Source organism: Homo sapiens, chromosome 20 (genome assembly GCF_000001405.40).
Source record: "Homo sapiens chromosome 20, GRCh38.p14 Primary Assembly".
NCBI lineage: Eukaryota > Metazoa > Chordata > Mammalia > Primates > Hominidae > Homo > Homo sapiens.
The window spans coordinates 4,899,870-4,918,352 of NC_000020.11; the positions used below are offsets into that span (position 1 = coordinate 4,899,870).

General features: G+C 42.5%; 1 protein-coding gene across 2 annotated transcripts in view; it reads right to left on the reverse strand.

Moving 5' to 3' along the window:
• The window catches only part of SLC23A2 (solute carrier family 23 member 2), a 157,956-nt gene that overhangs the window by 47,512 nt on the left and 91,961 nt on the right, over positions 1-18,483 (reverse strand). For both annotated transcript variants that reach the window (NM_203327.2, NM_005116.6), the window contains exons 4-5: positions 13,011-13,109; positions 2,573-2,689 (exon numbers count right to left, since the gene is read on the reverse strand). In NM_203327.2, the coding sequence (NP_976072.1) occupies positions 2,573-2,689; positions 13,011-13,109 (216 nt within the window). The remainder of the gene's footprint in view (positions 1-2,572; positions 2,690-13,010; positions 13,110-18,483) is intronic.

An 18,483-nucleotide genomic window follows, 5' to 3' on the forward strand; every position in this document is an offset into this window, starting at 1 on the left:
AGTATTTCTCCTTTGTTGTTAAGACAGTTTCACTCCCATTGCCCTCGACGGAGTGCAATGGTGCGATCTTGGCTCACTGTGACCTCCACCTCCCAGGCTCAAGCAATTCTCCTGCTTCAACCTCCCAAATAGCTGGGATTACAGGGGCGCACCACCACGCCCAGCTTATTTTTGTATTTTTTGTAGCGATGGGTTTTCACCGTGTTGGCAAAGCTGGTGTCAAACACCTGGGCTCAAGCGATCCGCCTGCCTCTCCCTCTCCAAAGTGCTGGGATTACAGGCGTGAGCCACCACGCCCAGCTGCATTTCTCCTTTTCATTACATTTTATTGTCTTACTATTCACTGTCATTATTACTTATTACTTGGATGAATCCATGCCTCACAAAGGAAACAGTCAATATCAGCACTGGTGATATTTTACTTATGTAATTCTTATTAGAAATATTTGGGTTTCTTCCCCAAAATGCTTTTCTGGCATAAATTGCTAAAACCATAAGGCCTTTCTCCTCTAATCTGTTATCATGAATTGTGATGTGCTGAACTATTCTTGCATGCTTGAAACAAACCCTAGTTAGTCATACTGTATTTTTCTTCTGGGATTTGATTTGCTAATATTTTATACAGAATTTTGCATCTACATTTCTAGGTTAATTAGTCTATTTCTTTAAAAAAGTTCTTTCATGTCTGGGGATTAAAGTTACATAAGCTTCATAAGTTACATACGCATGGAGTGTTTTCTGTCTTTTTCTGTGAGCTGGCATTGTTTTCGAAAACAAAGAATTCGTCTGTTCCAGTCAGGGCAGGGTTAAGGGCGTACAGTAGCCATGGGAATCTTCCAGAAAGAACCCCATCCCACTTTCCTTTGGGAGTCCCCCCAACCCCCCGCCACACCTGTAGCCCTGGTAGGATAGTCCCAGCACTCACGACTCACTTCCCTCCCTTCCCCTGTTGACCAGTTCTTATTTCTGTTCTGCAAACTTCCTACTTTTCTTCCAGCAGCTTCCCATTCCTGCCCACGTTAGCCAAACATGCCACATGCAGCCCATGAAGCCCGACTGTAAAGGAGTTTCCTGGGGTGAAATACTCCTGTTCAGGATGTCTCAGGGCTGCTCACAACTTTATGTACTCTGAATCGTCAGGAAGGGCATGATGCAGGCAGGGTTTCCCACTCCTATCTGACCAGGGAAGACTGCTGGGAACATTTATAAGATAAACATTCCAAAAAGTGTCCTTCCTGAATCTGGTTCAGAATGCTCAGCCCAAGGTAGACTAGTTGCCGAGGCCACTCAGCTCCTTTTGCTCTGACTCCTCCCCTACTCAACAGACACCTGCCAGTCGGGGTTACCATGGGCTGTGATACCTGAAACGGGGTGAGGGAAGGGCGGGGCAACTGGAAACTCAACCAAAGTACCCAGCTGTTGGCAGCCCCACCCCAGGGTGAATCAACCTCTCTGGACAATGAGATGGATTTTCTCGGCACCTGAGATACCTTAGGTTGAACTGACCACACAAACTTGAGAAGGGAAAAATGCTAAGTCCGACCTCAGAACAGAGTCCAAGTTAAAACCAAAGCATATTCAGTCCAGGAGTGTGCATTTAAGAAAAGACCCTCCCCACGTTGTCCCCTTTCTCCAAAACGTCCCGCGTTCATCCTATGAAAGGGAAAAGGGTGCTGAAGACAGAGGAGGGAAGTATCAAAGACGCCGGAGGCCTCCATCAGCTATGTCACCACCCACCTTGTCCCTGAGCCCGGCTGCCCTCCCCTCCCACTGGAAGCTGCAGCAGACAAAGCTGCTGCTACCATGGCAAGTTTCCCTTCCTTTAAAAAATAAGACTGAAAACCTACCATTTAGGTCCTGGCCAACATGGCACTTTTCCGGGTAGCTCCTGTTTCATGGCAGAGGTTACCATGATTGTGGGTGGGTTAACTAGGCCAGGAATGGGAGATGAAAATTAATTTCTCTTTTCTCTATTCTTCAACTTTTCTCCTTTCTCTATTCTTCCTTCTTTCTATAACTCTATTTCCTTTCCCTTCCTTTATGTCACTGCTCTTGCTTGTGCCCTGAACATCTTCTTTCTTTTCCCTGGTAATCCATTCTACCTGTTCTTTTCTTCCTCCTGCTGTGATGTCAACAATTCCCATTCATCATTTGTTTTTTGAGACAGGGTCTCACTATGTCAACCAGGCTGAAGTGGAGTGGTGTGATCACAGCTCACTGCAACCTCAACCTCAAGCGATCCTCCTGCCTCAGCCTCTTGAGTAGCTGGGACTGTGGGCACACACCACCACACATGGCTAATTTTTGTATTTTTTGTAGAGATGGACTTTTGCCATGTTACCCAGGCTGGTCTTGAGCTCCTAGGCTCCAGTGATCTGCCCACCTCAGCCTCCAAAACTGCTAGGATTACAGGCATCAGCCACTGTGCTCAGCCCCTACTCATCACTCTTAAAAGAGGAATTTATAAAAGTCTTCAATAAACAAAAACCAAAGTGGAATTTTTAAACAATTCCAGATGGTAGACAATGCAAACACCTGCTGGTAGTTACACATCCTACAGGAACCATCTTACCTGTAGCCCCAGAAATATACACAGGTACCAGGGAGGAACATCTTCTATGGTATAAATCATGTCTGATCGCTGGGGGTCCAGACTGCCAGTGCTATCCAGGGTCTCAGCGAGAGAGCTCTGCGAGCCAGAAGGAGAAAAGAAGGTGCTCATTAAACGTGAAGACCAGTGTTAGCTCGGCCATGTACAGGCCACTATTACAGAAAAACAACTTTATCAAGTGGTTGCCATCTTCCTGCAGTTTTGAGCCTTGGCTATCTTTGAAGCCAAGTATTCTCTTTGGCTCAAGTACAGTCGCCCACCGGGATGGTCAATCCTCAGAATTTGGGGGGTCAGCGTCCTTGGGCAACATCTCATCCCTGAGAACACCAAACTTGCTCAGAGCTTCTCCCCAGGCCTGGGGATCCTCCTGCATGGACAGAGATGTTCCCAGGTTGAGACCACAAAATGATACCTTGGCACGAGCAGTCCTTGCGTGAGACCCCAGATGAAAAAAATCTTAGAAAATTTTAACCACTTTCAAAGAGACAGCACACTGATCTGCCCCTCCCAGCCCACTTCATCCCTGCAAGTAAAAAGGATCTTTGTACTTTAAAATTCTACACCCTCCTATCCAAACACTATTGCTCAGATAACGTTAGGTGAAAAGAGTAATTCTAAAGTATATAAACACGGTGATTTGAATTCTGTTTAAAAAACAAAACATTAAAAATGTATTCATAGTTTAGGTGACAGGTTTTTTCTTCTTTTTCTCCTAACACTAGTAAAAAAAATATTTTAAAACATTAAGTGTGGCATGGTTTTTTAAGCAAAAATCATCATAAAGACCAGTCACTTTAGGTTAGAGTCCAGCCTCTTCCAATCACCCCCAGCATCAGTTCTGAACTCATGCAGTATCTGAGCCAAACAGAAAACTCAAGGTAGCCCCGAGTTCCCCAGGAGAACCTCAAAACTGCTCTGGTTTCAAACACCACACAAATAATCTTTCCTTGGAATTTCTACAATCATTTCTTGGAATCCAAGATATGTATCTCATTTTAAGAAATGTTTTATAACCTAGCAAACAAAGTGTTTAACAGGAAACAAAATGAAGAGATATCCACATGGAAAAATGCTGATTCCATGTGTTCCACCCACATGGAGGCAACAGGGGTTTGGGGTTTGGGGCCCAATACCCTTAAACAAAAGAAGGGACACAGTTCACCCTCACCTTTCACAGCCAGAAGGTAAATGTCTGATGGAAGCTGACATCTCATCTAATCCAAATGTAACTGAATATGACCTTTTGGGTAAAACTTTCTCTTCCGTCCTAACAAGGGATACTGGCAAATTTACATTGTGTTGAATTTGTTACAATGGATTATGGATGTCTTTAAAAACTTGTTGGGAGAAATGGTAGAAAAAGTACGTATGTGTCTGAGGGGTGTAGCATGTAGTGATGTACAATAAAGATTAACTCAGCAGGTCTGGGTTGTCCAAACCCCGCACATTTCAAAGAAAGGGTTGAGTCTTGCCTGGTACGTGGGGGATAACCTGAGCTCTTGGGGTTTCTGCCTCTTAAACATGTCTTTTTAGGCCCAGTGCAGTGGCTCACACCTGTGGTCCCAGCACCATGGGATGCTAAGGTGTGAGGATCACTTGAGGCCAGGGTTCAAGAACAGCCTGGGCAACATAGTGAGGCCTCTTCTCTAGTTTATACATATTTTTTTACCTGAAACTTGGCCACACAGTGTCAGCTTGACCTCTGGAGGGGCTGGTGAGTAATTAAAGTTAGCCACATAGGCAGTCAGCCATACCTATACGACAGATCCCCAATTAAAAACCCTGGACACCAAGGCTTGGATGAGCTTCCCTGGCTGAATGGGTGTTATCACATATCACTGCTGGGAAAACTGAACACTGCCTGCATGACTCCACTGGGAGAGGATGGCTGCAAGCCTGTGCCTGGTGTCTCCTAGACCCTGCCTATGTGCCTTTTTCCATTGTTGATTTTAATCTGTATCCTTTCTCTGAAGAAAAAAACAAACAAAAAAAAAACCCTTAACTGTGAGTAAAACAGCTCTGCTGAATTCTCTGAGTCTTTCTCATAAATCACAGAACCTGATTTGGGAACTTCTGAACTGAGGGCACCATTTTGCTAACGTGATGGAATTACAGACCTGGGGCTCACTACACAAAGGTCAGCTCAACAGCACCGCGTCAGCTACAGCCACACAGGTGGTGCTGCTGCTCACAAAGTAACATGACAAAGTATTTCATAACAAAGAGAAATGTCTGAAGACAGAATACATAACCCTATCATAGACTAGTACAACCTGTTATACAGTAATGTAAGCAACATTTTTCTAACAATTCCAAAACCACTAGTGTTAATTATAAGGCAGATGAAAAGACTTTTTGGCTAGGTGCAGTGGCTCACATCTGTAATTCCAGCACCTGCCAAGGCAGGTAGATCACCTGAGGTCAGGAGTTCAAGATTAGCCTAGCCAACATGGTGAAACCCTGTCTCTACTAAAAATACAAAAATTAGCTGGGCGTGGTGGCGTGCACCTGTAATCCCAGCTATTCCGGAGGCTGAGGCAGGAGAATTGCTTGAACCTAGGAGACAGAGGTTGCAGTAAGCCAAGATCACACCACTGCACTCTGGCCTGGGCAACAGAGAGAGATTCTGTCACAAAAAAAAAAAAAAAAAAAAAAGCAAGACTTTTCGCATCCAGGCAGAGGTTAAGATGTACACACAGGCGCATGTATGCACATGCACACACACAAGCTTTTCTTAGTAATGAGGGTAGCCCTACAACTCAGAAACAAAACTAGTGTAAAGGTCCACAACTGGTACTAAAATGATACAGGAGGGGGCTGTGTGGTCAAGAGGATCAGACAACACTGTGAGGCAGACGCTGTGCCCCCCCTCCTGATGACAGAAGGACCACTCTGGCCATTGTGCACTCTACGCACTGTGGCGCCACACTCAGTGATCACTGTAAACTATGAGCTATTTTAAATACTGCAAAAACAAAAACCTCTAATAAGGTTTCTGTAAAAGATGACTACATAAATAATTACGTCACTTTACAAAGACTTTCCATCTTATTCTATGGTCCAAAATAATCTAAAGAACAAAAAAACTGCCTGTGCTCCAAAGACTAGAGTGAACTCAGAACGCTGTTCTCTGCCTGGAGCCTTCTTAACATTTTTAATAACCTTTGCTATCTCCTCTGCGGTTATTTATCTAGTCTAGCACCTTTGGGGTCGATTGTAGTCTCTTTCTCTAGGAAATCATTTCTTCTGCAGCACAGTCAGCACATATTTTTTATAAAGGACCATACAGTAAATATTTCAAGCTTTGGGAGCCACATGGTTCTGTCACTGTAGCATGGATGCAGCCTTAGGCAATAGGTAAACAAAGAAATGTGGCTGTGTTCCAGCAAAACTCTACTGAGAAGAACAGATATTAAACCAAATTTGGCTTGCCAACCCCCGCTGTAGCGTTTCAAACTGATTATCATAAAGTAGCATGTATTATTCTCTTGTACATTTCTCCTTTTTACTATACTAATGTATATGTGTGCTTTCTATTTTTTTTCTCTTGATCAGGGCCACAACAGATCAGTTTTGGCCAGGCATGGTGGCTCATGTCTATAATTCCAGCACTTTGGGAGACCAAGGTCGGCAGACTGCTTGAGCTCAGGAGTTCGAGACCAGTCTGGGCAACAGACAGAGACCCTGTCTCCAAAAACAAACAAACAAAAATTAGCTGGGTGTGGTGGCACATGCCAGTGATCACCCGCTCAGGAGTCTGAGGTAGGAGCATCACTTGAGCCTGAGAGGTTGCGGCTGCAGTGAGCTGTGATCATGCCACTGCACTCCAGCCTAGGCAACAGAGATCTTGTCTCAAAAAAAACAGAACAGGCTGGTAGCTCACGTCTGTAATCCCAGCACTTTGGGAGGCCAAGGCAGGCCAATCACTTGAGGTCAGCCTGGCCAACATGGTGAAACCCTGAAACCCTGTCTCTACTGAAAATACAAAAATTGGCTGGGTGTGGTGGCGTACACCTGTAGTCCCAGCTACTTGGGAGGCTGAGGCAGGAGAATCGCTTCAACCCAGGAGGCAGAGGCTGCAGTGAGCCAAGATCGTGCCACTGCACTCCAGCCTGGGTGACAGAGTGACACTCTGTCTCAAAAAAACAAAACAAAACAACAAAAAACCAAAAAACAAAAAACCCAAAAAGATCAATTTCATTATTCTTTTCAACAAGCCAGCTTTTGAGTTCTAGTTAAGCATGGTAGATTGACCACATGTGTCTTTTCTTCTAAGTCCTAAAAACAGGAGGAATAAATATGATACTCATCAACAAGGACAAAGCAAAGAGGAGATCAAGAAAAAGAGATTAATATTTTTTTTAATATGGAAATTGTTTGGATGATTTGTGACCAATTTGGGAGAGGGAAGGAATGCACAAGCTGGGTGCTCATAGAAGGATGCTGTGAAGAGGTGGGCTGGCTGACCAGCAGGACCCCAGAAAGTGCTATGCTTGGAAGCACTAGACAGAGTAGCAATGGGGAGAGGACAGGTCTTAACTCCGCAAACTGGTCAGACAGTGTGTTAACTACTGCTATCCTCCTCCTTCAAGAAACAAATATGTATGGTTTGAAGAATATAAATTGGAAAGCCCTCAGGCTGAGGAATACCACACAGCGATCAAGGAAAACAGCAGCAGCAGGATACTCATCTGCTTCCAGAATGCCAGAAACCAGGTCACAGAAGCCAGACTTATACCCACAGGAGACCACACGATTCCTTTCTAGAGAAAGTTGATCAGCCCCAAAGACAAGATAGTGACATCTATAGATCCCACAGAGACAACACGGCTTTCCACCTGGTCACTCAAGGGCAGGCCCACGATTAGATAAACTTCATCACACACAAAGACCTCACAATCCTATCTTTTATTGCCTCCTATCCTGGAACAGTGAAGAAAGACTAAAAAAATGAAGGCAAAGAAACAGAAAATATAATCAATGTAGTATTTTTTAAAAAGCTTAAAAAAAAACTATCTTCAGAAAAATAAAGTTACTTCAATTGTGGGAGACAAAGAATGCTTTTTAAAGACTTTAACCAGTAAACAAAACCAAAAAACAATAAAAGAGGTCTCAGAAATTAAGCACAGGATAGTTTTTTAAAACTCAACAGAAGGGCTGGAAGTCAAAGGTAGCTCTCAAAAATAAGAAAAAGACAAATATAGGTAAGAGTTAAGTGTTAAATGTCAGAACAAGGAAAAAAGAATATAGAAATTAACCAAAGAAATAAGAAAAATTTAAGAAATAAAGGACATGTTAACAAATTAGAAGGATACTACAGTATTCAATGGATTAATGAAAAAATGCATTTTGAAAATAAAACAATCATTCTTACTAAGGAAGGCCTTAAAATTCAAACAGACATTTAAGGGAAACTGGAAATAAACATGAGTTTACATAATTTGGCCAGATGGAAAGGAAAAAAAATACAAAAAACTATGAAAGTGTGAGGAGCACAAGGAAGAACAGATAAGCTGCAAAACAGAGTAAGTGTCAGAGACTAGAATGAAAAAGCTCCGTGCTAAGAGGAAAAAAAAGATTAAAGAGAACTGATAGCTGGAGGAGGCAGGCAAAGAACAAACAAAACATGCATAATTGCAGCTCCCAAATCAGAAACCAAAAGAATAGACTGGAATTAATATTTAAAGATACAATTCCTGAGATAATAGCAGCCTCAAAGCTAAATATTGAAAATGCCAGGAAAAACTGGCCCAGAAAAGGATATACACATGGGTCTTGAGCATGTGTAAAGAGATGCAGCCTCACTAATGAAAAATCAGGATAAAACTACAGTGACGAACCTAAGCTGAGAGAGATTCTACAAAGTAAACTGGCTTGTACCATGTTACATTAACAACGAAAAATTGTTCCAGATTAAAGGAGACTAAAGATATACCTAAAAAGTAAATGCCTCAACAGCCCCTGATTTGATTCCTGGACCAAAACTTTTAAAATTAATTAACTTATTTATTTATTTTACAATAATGAACATTATTTGGACAACTGAGGAAATGTGAATAAAGCTTGTAGATATTAAATATTTTAAAATTGGGATTAAGTAATAAAATCAATTAGGTATTGTATGACTAATAATTTAATTCATCAGTGTTAAGAATTGTACTGTAGGGACCGGGTGTGGTGGCTCATGCCTGTAATCCCAGCACTTTGGGAGGCCGAAGCAGGTAGATTCCTTGAAGCCAGAGTTCCAGGCCAGCCTGGTCAACATGGCAAAACCCCGTCTCTACTAAAAATAGAAAAATTAGCCAGGTGTGGTGGTGCACGCCTGTGATCCCAGCTACTTGGGAGGCTCAGGCTGAGGTATGAGAATTGCTTGAAACTGGGGGGCGGAGGTTGCAGTGAGCTGAGATTGTGCCACTGCATTCCAGCCTGAATGACAGAGCAAGACTATCTCAAAAAACATTGTACTGAAGTTATAAAACAAAGAGAATGTCTTTGTTTTAAGGAAATACACATGCAGTATTTTCCCTAAATAAAGAGGCATTATGTCTGTGAGATTTGAACAGCTCAAAAATAATAATATGCCTACAAGAAGGATGAAGAAAATACAGTAAAATGTTAACATCTGGGGCATCTGTTTGTGTGTACCTATGTGGAAAGTGGTATGGAATATACATACAGGTTGAAAATGCTTGGAACCCAAATGTTTTGGATTTCAGATTTTTTTGGGATTTTGAAATACTTACTGGTTGCGCATCACAATCCCAAAACTCAAATCCAAAATGCTCCAATGAGCAAGCATTTCCTTTGAGCATCATGTCGGTGCTCAAAAAATTTCAGATATTGGAACATTGCAGATTTCAGATCTCAGTTTTAGGACGGTTACTCTACATCAGGTTGCCAGCCGCTGGTTACGTAGAATATATAAAGAACGTAGGGGGCACATTTTCAACTTTCTCCATTTTTTGGACTGTTTACTATTAGACAATCATGTTAAAATGAATGTCATTTTTTTTTTGGAACAACTAGTCCTTTAACAAAAGATAGCTTAAAGAGAATCCACAGGGATCAAGTCAGAAAAGGTCTCTTTTGTTTTGAGACAGTCTCACTTTGTCACTCAGGTTGGAGTGCAGTAGTGCTATCTTGGCTCACTACAACCTCTGCCTCCTGGATTCAAGCAATTCTCTTGCCTCAGCCTCCCAAGTAGCTGGGATTACAGGCGAATGTCATGAAGCCCGGCTAAATTTTTTTGTATTTTTAGTAGAGACGGGGTTTCACCATGTTGCCCAGGCTAGTCTCAAACTCCTGAGCTCAGGCAATCCACCCACCTTGGCCTCCCAAAGTGCTGGCATTACATGCATGAGCCACCCACCTGGACCAAGTCAGAAAAGGTCTCTAACAAAAAAAAGTAGATCTCAAAGTTACAGAAGACAAGTTTATTTTATCTTGTATTTAATATGATAATTGCAACTAAGCATTTGAAACAACGGGCAGCAAAAGGCCCAGTGGCACACAGGGCAGCACATCCAGTGCAGGCTCTTTAATAACCAGCTTACATGCCACTCTGCTCACACTGGGGCAATCCGGCTTCCTGAGAGCCTTCCACTACTTTTGGCCGGGTATGGTGGCTCACGCCTGTAATCTGAGCACTTTGGGAGGCCAAGGCGGATAAATCACCTGAGGTCAGGAGTTTGAGACCAGCCTGACCAACATGGTAAATCCCCAACTTTACTAAAAATACAAAAAAAAATTAGCCTGGTATGATGGCGTGCGCCTCTGGTCCCAGCTACTCAGGAGGCTGAGGTAGGAGAATCGCTTGAACCAGGGAGGCAGAGATTGTAGCGAGCAGAGACTGGGCCACTCCACTTCAGCCTGGGTGACAGAGTGAGACTCTGTCTCAAGAAAAAAAAAAAAAAACAGCCCGCTGAGGGTCTGGCTTAATGACTAGCATTTTATTTATTTACTTTTTTTGAGACAGAGTCTCACTCTGTCATACAGGCTGGAGGGCAGTGGTGCCATCTCAGCTCACTGCAACCTCTGCCTCCTGGGTTCAGGTGATTCTCCTGCCTCAGCCTCCCAAATAGCTGCAACCCAACCACAGGCGTGTGACACCCCTCCTGGCTAATTTTTGTGTCTTTAGTAGAGACGGGGTTTCGCCATGTTGGCCAGGCTGGTCTTGAACTCCTGACCTCAAGTGATCCACCCATCTCGGCCTCCCAAAGTGCTGTGATTGCAGGCATGAGCCACCACGCCCAGCCCAACTAGCACTATTTAATATGTAGCAGCTCTTCTCACTGCCCTCCTCATTTCATAAAGTAAGAAAAATGGCCAGGAAAATATTAAGATACTCCATTTCATTGGTATTCAAGGAAATACAAATGTATCAATGTTTAGACAATGAAAAAATGTTCACCCAAACAGGAAAATGAACATCTAGCATAAATGTGCTAGAGACATTTTTCCTACAACTGGATCCCTCCCATCAGTAAAAGGTAAAGCTAAGCCCCAAAGTGTTAATGCTCATCACTATTTATTTCTAAAGACGATCTCCAGACAGAGAAGGAGGAAGTCTGAAAACATGACAGCCTGGAATCATGGCATAGAGGATTATATGTGGCCCACCAAGTCTGTGAAGAAGCCCTTTGTTACAAGATGGACCGTGTGAAAGCTGCGGCCCGGCAGTGTGGGATGTGCCTCAGCTGCAGACCACAGGCACCAATCCACATGCCAAACACCACTGCACTAACCTTTGGGGAGCAGCTTGGAACCCCGCACTTCTGGAATTTCAGTATCTCTGCCTGAATCTACTTTAATTAACCTCCATAAAATTTATAATAGCTCCAAGCAGCAGGAAAATAATAACAATATTGGTTGAGAGGCAAAAATGAAATTTCCATATCCCAGACTGGAATTTTGTTTAAAAGGGCATAAAATTTGGTTATTTCAGAATTTCAATACAATTTATTTGTTCTTAATCACTTTAGTGATTACACTGTGAACTCACCATGCTAATACCCAACTCAGGTACTATATTTGTATGTGTCAACTTCTGGGTGGTCTGTTATTAGAATACATAGTATACACTGTCTACAGTATAATACAGTGGTTCCAGAATAGAATTTCTCATTACATAAATTGTTTAGTTTCTTATTATGTCAGCTGAAAATTAGTAAATTTTCATAGTATAAATAAAACCTGTGTTTAAAATCTATCAAGTAAAACTCAAATGAAAGCCTCAGAGCTGCGATACAATTTGGAGATATCAGATTATCTAACTTCTCATATGTTAGACATCATGGCAGATACAAAGAAAAAAAGAAATCGGGATATCTGGACCTACTTTATTTTATTTTTATTTATGAATTTATTTATTTATTTTTTTTAGAGACAGGGTCTTACTCTGTCTTCCCAGTTGGAGTACAGAAGCATGATCTTAGCTCACTGTAGCCTCAAACTCTTAGGCTCAAGCAATTCTCCTGCCCCTGAGTAGCTGCTACTATAGGCACACATCACCACACCTGGATAATTATTTCTTTTTTTTTTTTTTTGTAGAGACAGGATCTTGCTACGTTGCCCAGGCTGGTCTCAAACTCCTGGCCTCAAGCAATCTTCCCGCCTCAGCCTCCCAAAGTATTGGGATTATAGGTGTGAGCCACTGAGCCCAGATTGGAGCCGCTTTGGGCAACTTTATCCTGACCTCTATGGTCACAAAGTCTGACCATTCAAGGAGATGGAACGAGGCACAGAGCAAAACAAAAATAAACAAAAAAACCACAAACACGATTCTCCCCACCTTAGTGTGCCATTTCCATTGGCACACTAAGGTGCCAAAGGTGCTACGGTCAAAACTCAAAGGCATTTTCATAGGCTGCATAAACCACTTGCTGATTTCCCTTATTCTCTTATTTACTGCACATGTATCTGTAACAGGCACGATGCTAATAACTTCACATATCATTTCATTCAATCCACAAAACAACCAGATGTTGACATTTTTATTCCCATTTTAGAGACAGGGAACTGAGGCCCAGAGAACTTCTATAATTTCCTCAGTCTGACTCATATTTGCACCCAGACCTGATGCCAGACCTCAAGCTCTTAACCACTTCCCTCTGCCATCTTGGCTGAGGCCTTTTTAAATACCTGGATCCTCCTCTATGGTTCTCACCTTAAATGCCATTAAAACAATCAAAAAAAAAAAAAAAAAAAAACTAGTAACTTCTATTCCCTATGGCTCCTCCTACTTCCCTTATGAAGAGAACACAGCCCCTTGGGAGTCAGAGACCAAGCCCCAGACGAAGGACATGCAAGTGTCTGAAAGGGATCCGGATCCAGATCCGGGGCAGCACTTGTGGGAGGGGATGGCGGTGGGAGTGGGGACACGGGGTGACGGAAGGGGTACCTTTTCTGCAATGCCGTTTTCCGTAGTGTAGATCGCCATGAGCTCAGTGTCCTCATTGTCCTGCTCACCGCTGGAGGTGGCGCCTCCATTTATCACCACCTGCAGAGACAATCCACTTAGAGGCTGTTTCAGCGTGAACCACATTTTCCTCCCCCCGAAAGCCATTTGTAATTCTCCTGGTGAGTGCATGACCAGGCATGGTTTTGATGGAGAAACATACTCCATGTACCGTATGGGGAGGCTGCCTTAGCAGAAGGCTCAGCCGGGGAGAAAAGAAATAAAATCCCAGGGCAACCTCAGCAGGGGCACCCCCACATCCTTCAGGGGAAGGGAAGTTTGGCTCAGAGGCCCATGCTGTTTGTGGACGAGGCCCAGGCTGAACAGGTGAGAGTACCCTGAGCTGCCTCGGTTAAGATCCCTGCCCACATAACCACCTGAGGCCGACTTCCTGCACCTAGAAGGGGAAATGTTCTAGCTGGAGGAACTCAAGCTTTGCTGTTCACCTAAGTAAACCAGCCCACTGGAGAACACTCCTCGGTAAGGGGCCACACCATCGTCCCGGGTTCTGCCAGCCAGTAGCAAGAGCCATAAAATATTTTTACTTTTTAGCCAAACGGTTCCACTTCTAGGAATCTATACTGGAGAACAATAATGAGAACAAAAGCTTTAACCCAAAGAAAGTAATCACTGTTTATAATAACAAATAACTAGTTTTTGTTTTTTTAGGTTTTGTTGTTGTTGTTGTTGTTGTTTCGTTTTGTTTTTGAGACGATGTCGCGCTCTGTCGCCCAGGCTGGAATGCAATGGCGTGATCTCGGCTCACTGCAACCTCCGCCTCCCAGGTTCAAGCGATTCTCCTGCCTCAGCCTCCCGAGTAGCTGGAATTACAGGTGCCCACCACAACACCTGGCTAATTTTTATATTATTAGTAGAGACGGGGTTTCACCATGTTGGTCAGGCTGGTCTCGAACTCCTAACCTCAGGTGATCCACTCACCTCAGCCTCCCAAAGTGCTGGGATTATAGGCATGAGCCACCACACATGGCTCAAATAACTAGTTATAGGCCACTGACACCCAGAATACTACAAGGGAAAAGATTTTTACACAGAGTAATATCAAGGAAAATGCACATGTAATAAATATTAAGGTAACTGTATATATGGTTAACAGTGCAACTACATTTAAAAACTACAGATTTAAAAAGTATATTAAAAGTTCAAATTCTGGCATTGTGAAATACACTAAAAGCAAGCAGAAGACAAGTGATGGCCTAGGAGAAAATACAGTGCAGCAGATATAAAAAGGGTCAGTATCAATATGCGTAAAGAACACCTCAAACCAATAATAAAACCAAACGATCCAATTCATCCCTGAGAGGCCTAAGGAAAAAGGATGGAAAGGAAATGGGCAAGGGCTAGGAATATATCATTCATAGAAGAAAAACATATATACAATAAAACACATGAAAAGCTGTTCCATATCATTTTAAATTATGGAAATAATTATTAAAATTTTATTTTAAAAAAAACAAACTTAGAGGGAAACTTAAAAAACTGAACCAGGTATTGACCAAGGTATGGGGGAGAGTTACTCTCCTGTGTTCTTGGAGAGAACATGCTCTTGGTGGAATGGCCTTCATGGAGGGAAATTTGGCAATGGGATTTAAAACAGGTATTTCTGTGGATCCAGCAATTATACTCATAGAAGCTTATCCTCTAGAAATATCCATGCAGGTAATATATATATTCAAGGTTGATCACTGCTGTAATTTATGAAATACTGAATACTTGGGGACAACATAAATGTCCATCAAAAAGACACAGTTACATTATTATACACTCATTTAGAGGAGATAATCAGCCATTAAAAATAATAAAGCACTGGACACGGTGGCTCAGGACTGTAATCCTGGCACTTTGGAAGGCTGAGGCAGGCAGATCACCTGAGGTCGGGAGTTCGAGACCAGCTGGCCAACACAGTGAAACCCCGTCTCTACTAAAAATACAAAAATAAGCCAGGCATGGCGTTGCACATCTGTAGTCCCAGCTACTCAGGAGGCTGAGGCAGGAGAACTGCTGGAACATGAAAGGTGGGGGTTGCACTCCAGCCTGGGTGACCGAGCAAGACATCGACTCTAAATAAATACATAAATAAATAAATAGCTAGCTGATGTACTAATTAAAAAAAAACTCCAAGAAATACTGTTTTTAAAAAGTTATAAAACAATAAGCCTAGAATTATCCCAACTGAGCTAAAAAAGAAAATTGTAATGACCCCACCACTTGTCTAAAAAGGACAGAAAAGCATACAGGAAAATCACAACCAGTAGGAAGGGTGCTGCCTTAGGGACAAGAACGGCAATAGCAGACACCTTTCATCTTTTTACTCACAACCCTTTGTAAGTGTTTGGATCTTTTATGATCAGGATGTATTTGTGTTATTTGTATACTGCTTTTTTAAAAATGGATAATTTAAAAAAAAAGACATACTCCAAAATGCTAACAGTGGTTGTCCTTAATTGGTAGGGCCATTTTTGCCAACTTTTTCCCCTTTTTATATTTTGGTCATTTCCTAAAATGAGTAAGTACAATTTATTTTGATAATAGGGAAGAAATTTAAGACTAAAATCCTAGCAGTACAGCTTGGATTGAGGAGGTCCAGAGAGATTCCCAATTCATGTGTTTTTGTAGTCAAGGAAATCAGGGCAGTGAAAAATTAGGTTTCTCATTCAAGGTCATACAGATTATAACCTAGGTCTGAAGTGGGTTTTTAAGTATGCCAGAGAGGCCAGGCGCAGTGGCTCATGCCTGTAATCCCAGCACTTTGGGAGGCCGTGGCAGGCAGATCACCCGAGATCACGAGTTCGAGACCAGCCTGGCCAACATGGCAAAACCCCATCTCTACTAAAAATACAAAAATTAGCTGGGCGTGGTGATGGGCGCCTCTAATCCCAGCTACTTGAGAGGATGAGGCAGGAGAATCGCTTGAATCCAGGAGGTGGAGGTTGCAGTGAGCCGAGATTGTGCCACTGTACTCCACCCTGGTCAACAGAGCGAGACTCCATCTCAACAAATAAAAAATAAAATAAAATAAAAATAAAAACTATGCCAGAGATCTCAATTAATTAGTACATACTCCTACAGAGCAGAATTCTCTTACATTACTTCAAATAAAGACCTGCTTTTAAAATTATTTCTCAAACATGTTATAGTTTTTTACACAAGCCAACTGAGTTTGTGGAGCTGGTTTACCTATAAAAACTGGCTGCTGGGAGGATACACATTCCTGGCCAAGTTCAGGTCCACGAGATGAAACTCTTAACTTACAGAGAGAACTGTGCTCCAAGTCATATCGCAGCAGTGCTCAACCCACTGAGAAGCCAAGAGCAACACGCTCTCAGGATGAACTCTCCTAAAACACGGATCAGTTACTAAATCATTAGAGAAACCTAGATATGATTGAAAGTCTGACTCTAGCCAAACTAACCTTCACCTGCATTTATCTCGGGTTGCTGCAGGGAACAGCAACTTTACCAGTAAGGGGTTTCCTTTGCAGGAGATGAAAATGTTTTGGAACCAAATGGACGAGGCTGTATAACACTGTGAGTGTATTAAAATATCACTGAATTGTTCACTTTAATTTCATGTTATGCAAACTTCACCTCGATACATTAAAAAAAATCATCTGTATACATGGCACTAAGAAGATAGATTTTGAAATGAGTTAGCAATTCCTACTGCTCCCCTGACACATTCCACTCACTACTTATACATACACAAATAAGTATAATGATCCCCAACTTAAATGGTTAAACTTAGGATTTTTTGACTTTACAGTGGTACAAAAGTGATATGTATTCCGTAGAAACTGTCAAGTACCCATACAACCCCTCTGCTCTTCACTTCAGTATTCAAGAAACTGCAAGAGATATTCAACACTTCACCATAAAATAGGCTTTGTGTTAGATGCTTTTGCCTAACTACAGGCTAATGTAAGGGTTCTGAGCACATGTGAGGTAGGCGGGGTTAAGCTATGAATTGCCAGTAGGTTAGGTGTATTAAATGCATTTTAGGGGTGTAACTCTGTCATAAGTCAAGGAACATCTGTATTATAAAATGCAGACACTCCTAAGCCTAGAAAAAAAGCTCACATATTCATTCATTCAACAAATTGTGGTTGTATCCCAGGCAATGAGAATGCAGTCCTGCCTCCCTGCAGGAGCTCAGTCCAGACTGAGTGCCCCGCCAAGGAATTCCGCTGTTACACAGGAGGCAGTCAGTAGCCACAAAGAAATGCCAAGAACAGGAGTGCCACAATCAGATGCTAGCACTGGACAGCCATTCTGGGTGCAGCAGGAGAGTGGATGGGTGGGGTAAAGGAATGACCCTTTGGCACACGAGGAGACAGGAGCTGGGCAAAGGTGTTAACAGTGGTCTGGGAAAGACAGTCAGCTTCAGGAGAGAGCAATGATGTGGACTTAATGCCCCCTGAAGATTGTCTGGATGGGAGCTCTGTGGTGAGTACAGCGGGGAGATGCCATCACAGCACAGCAGGGGGCACGGGAGTAAAGTGTCCAGGCTGGGTTTCTCAGCTGGGAAGCTGGGTGGATGGAGGTGCCAGTCCCAAAGAGACTGGCAGGAGGTAGGGGTGGAATGTTTGTAAGCCAATTCAAAATGTGTTTGACCCACAGAAATCATCCAAAAAAGGAAGGTTTACTTTGCCAGGCTAGTCCAGGAAGTTTATTTAACTGTAAATACTACTGACCTAGAAAACCTATGATTTGCACAGGTCCAGCTGTCTGTCCCTGGGGACCTCAGAGCCCAGCTTCCCCCTGCTACCCTCCTGTTGCCCAGCTGAGATGTAGCTCTCCTCTCCATGCTACCCCCATCCTCTAAGGAAGCCTGTAATAAGACGGGGACACCAGCTGGAAATGCTCTTGTCTGACTGGCTCGTCTCTGATCTATTTACGTGCAGGGGGCTGCCTAAATAGTTCTTGCCTAAATGGTTCTTACAGATGAAGAGTTCTACTGGAAGTACTAGTCTACCTTACCAACATTTTTTCCTTTGGCTTATTAAAATAGATACTCTAATGGCCTATTTTTAATGCAAAATTTAATTTTAAAAATCAAATGGTAAAAATCAGTTCTTGAGGACTGAATTTTTTATGGGAAAAGGATTAAAATGCTGATGATAGTAGCAAAGCTTCATATTTTGGAACTTTTAAATATTATTTTAACTGGGAAATAAAACATGTCTTGGGAAGCTTTCTAAACTTAATAAAGTCTGGTTTTCTTTTGGGTAACTAATAGATAACAGAAGAATCTTGGCATCGTTCACCTCAGGAAATTGATCAAGTTTTTATAAAAATATCAGCAGATTAGTATACCCCTTTTGGGAACAAGATGTCCTTTCTTCTCCAAAACTATCTTAAACTAAACTCGTGGCCTTAAGTTTTGTCTCCTAAACTAACAT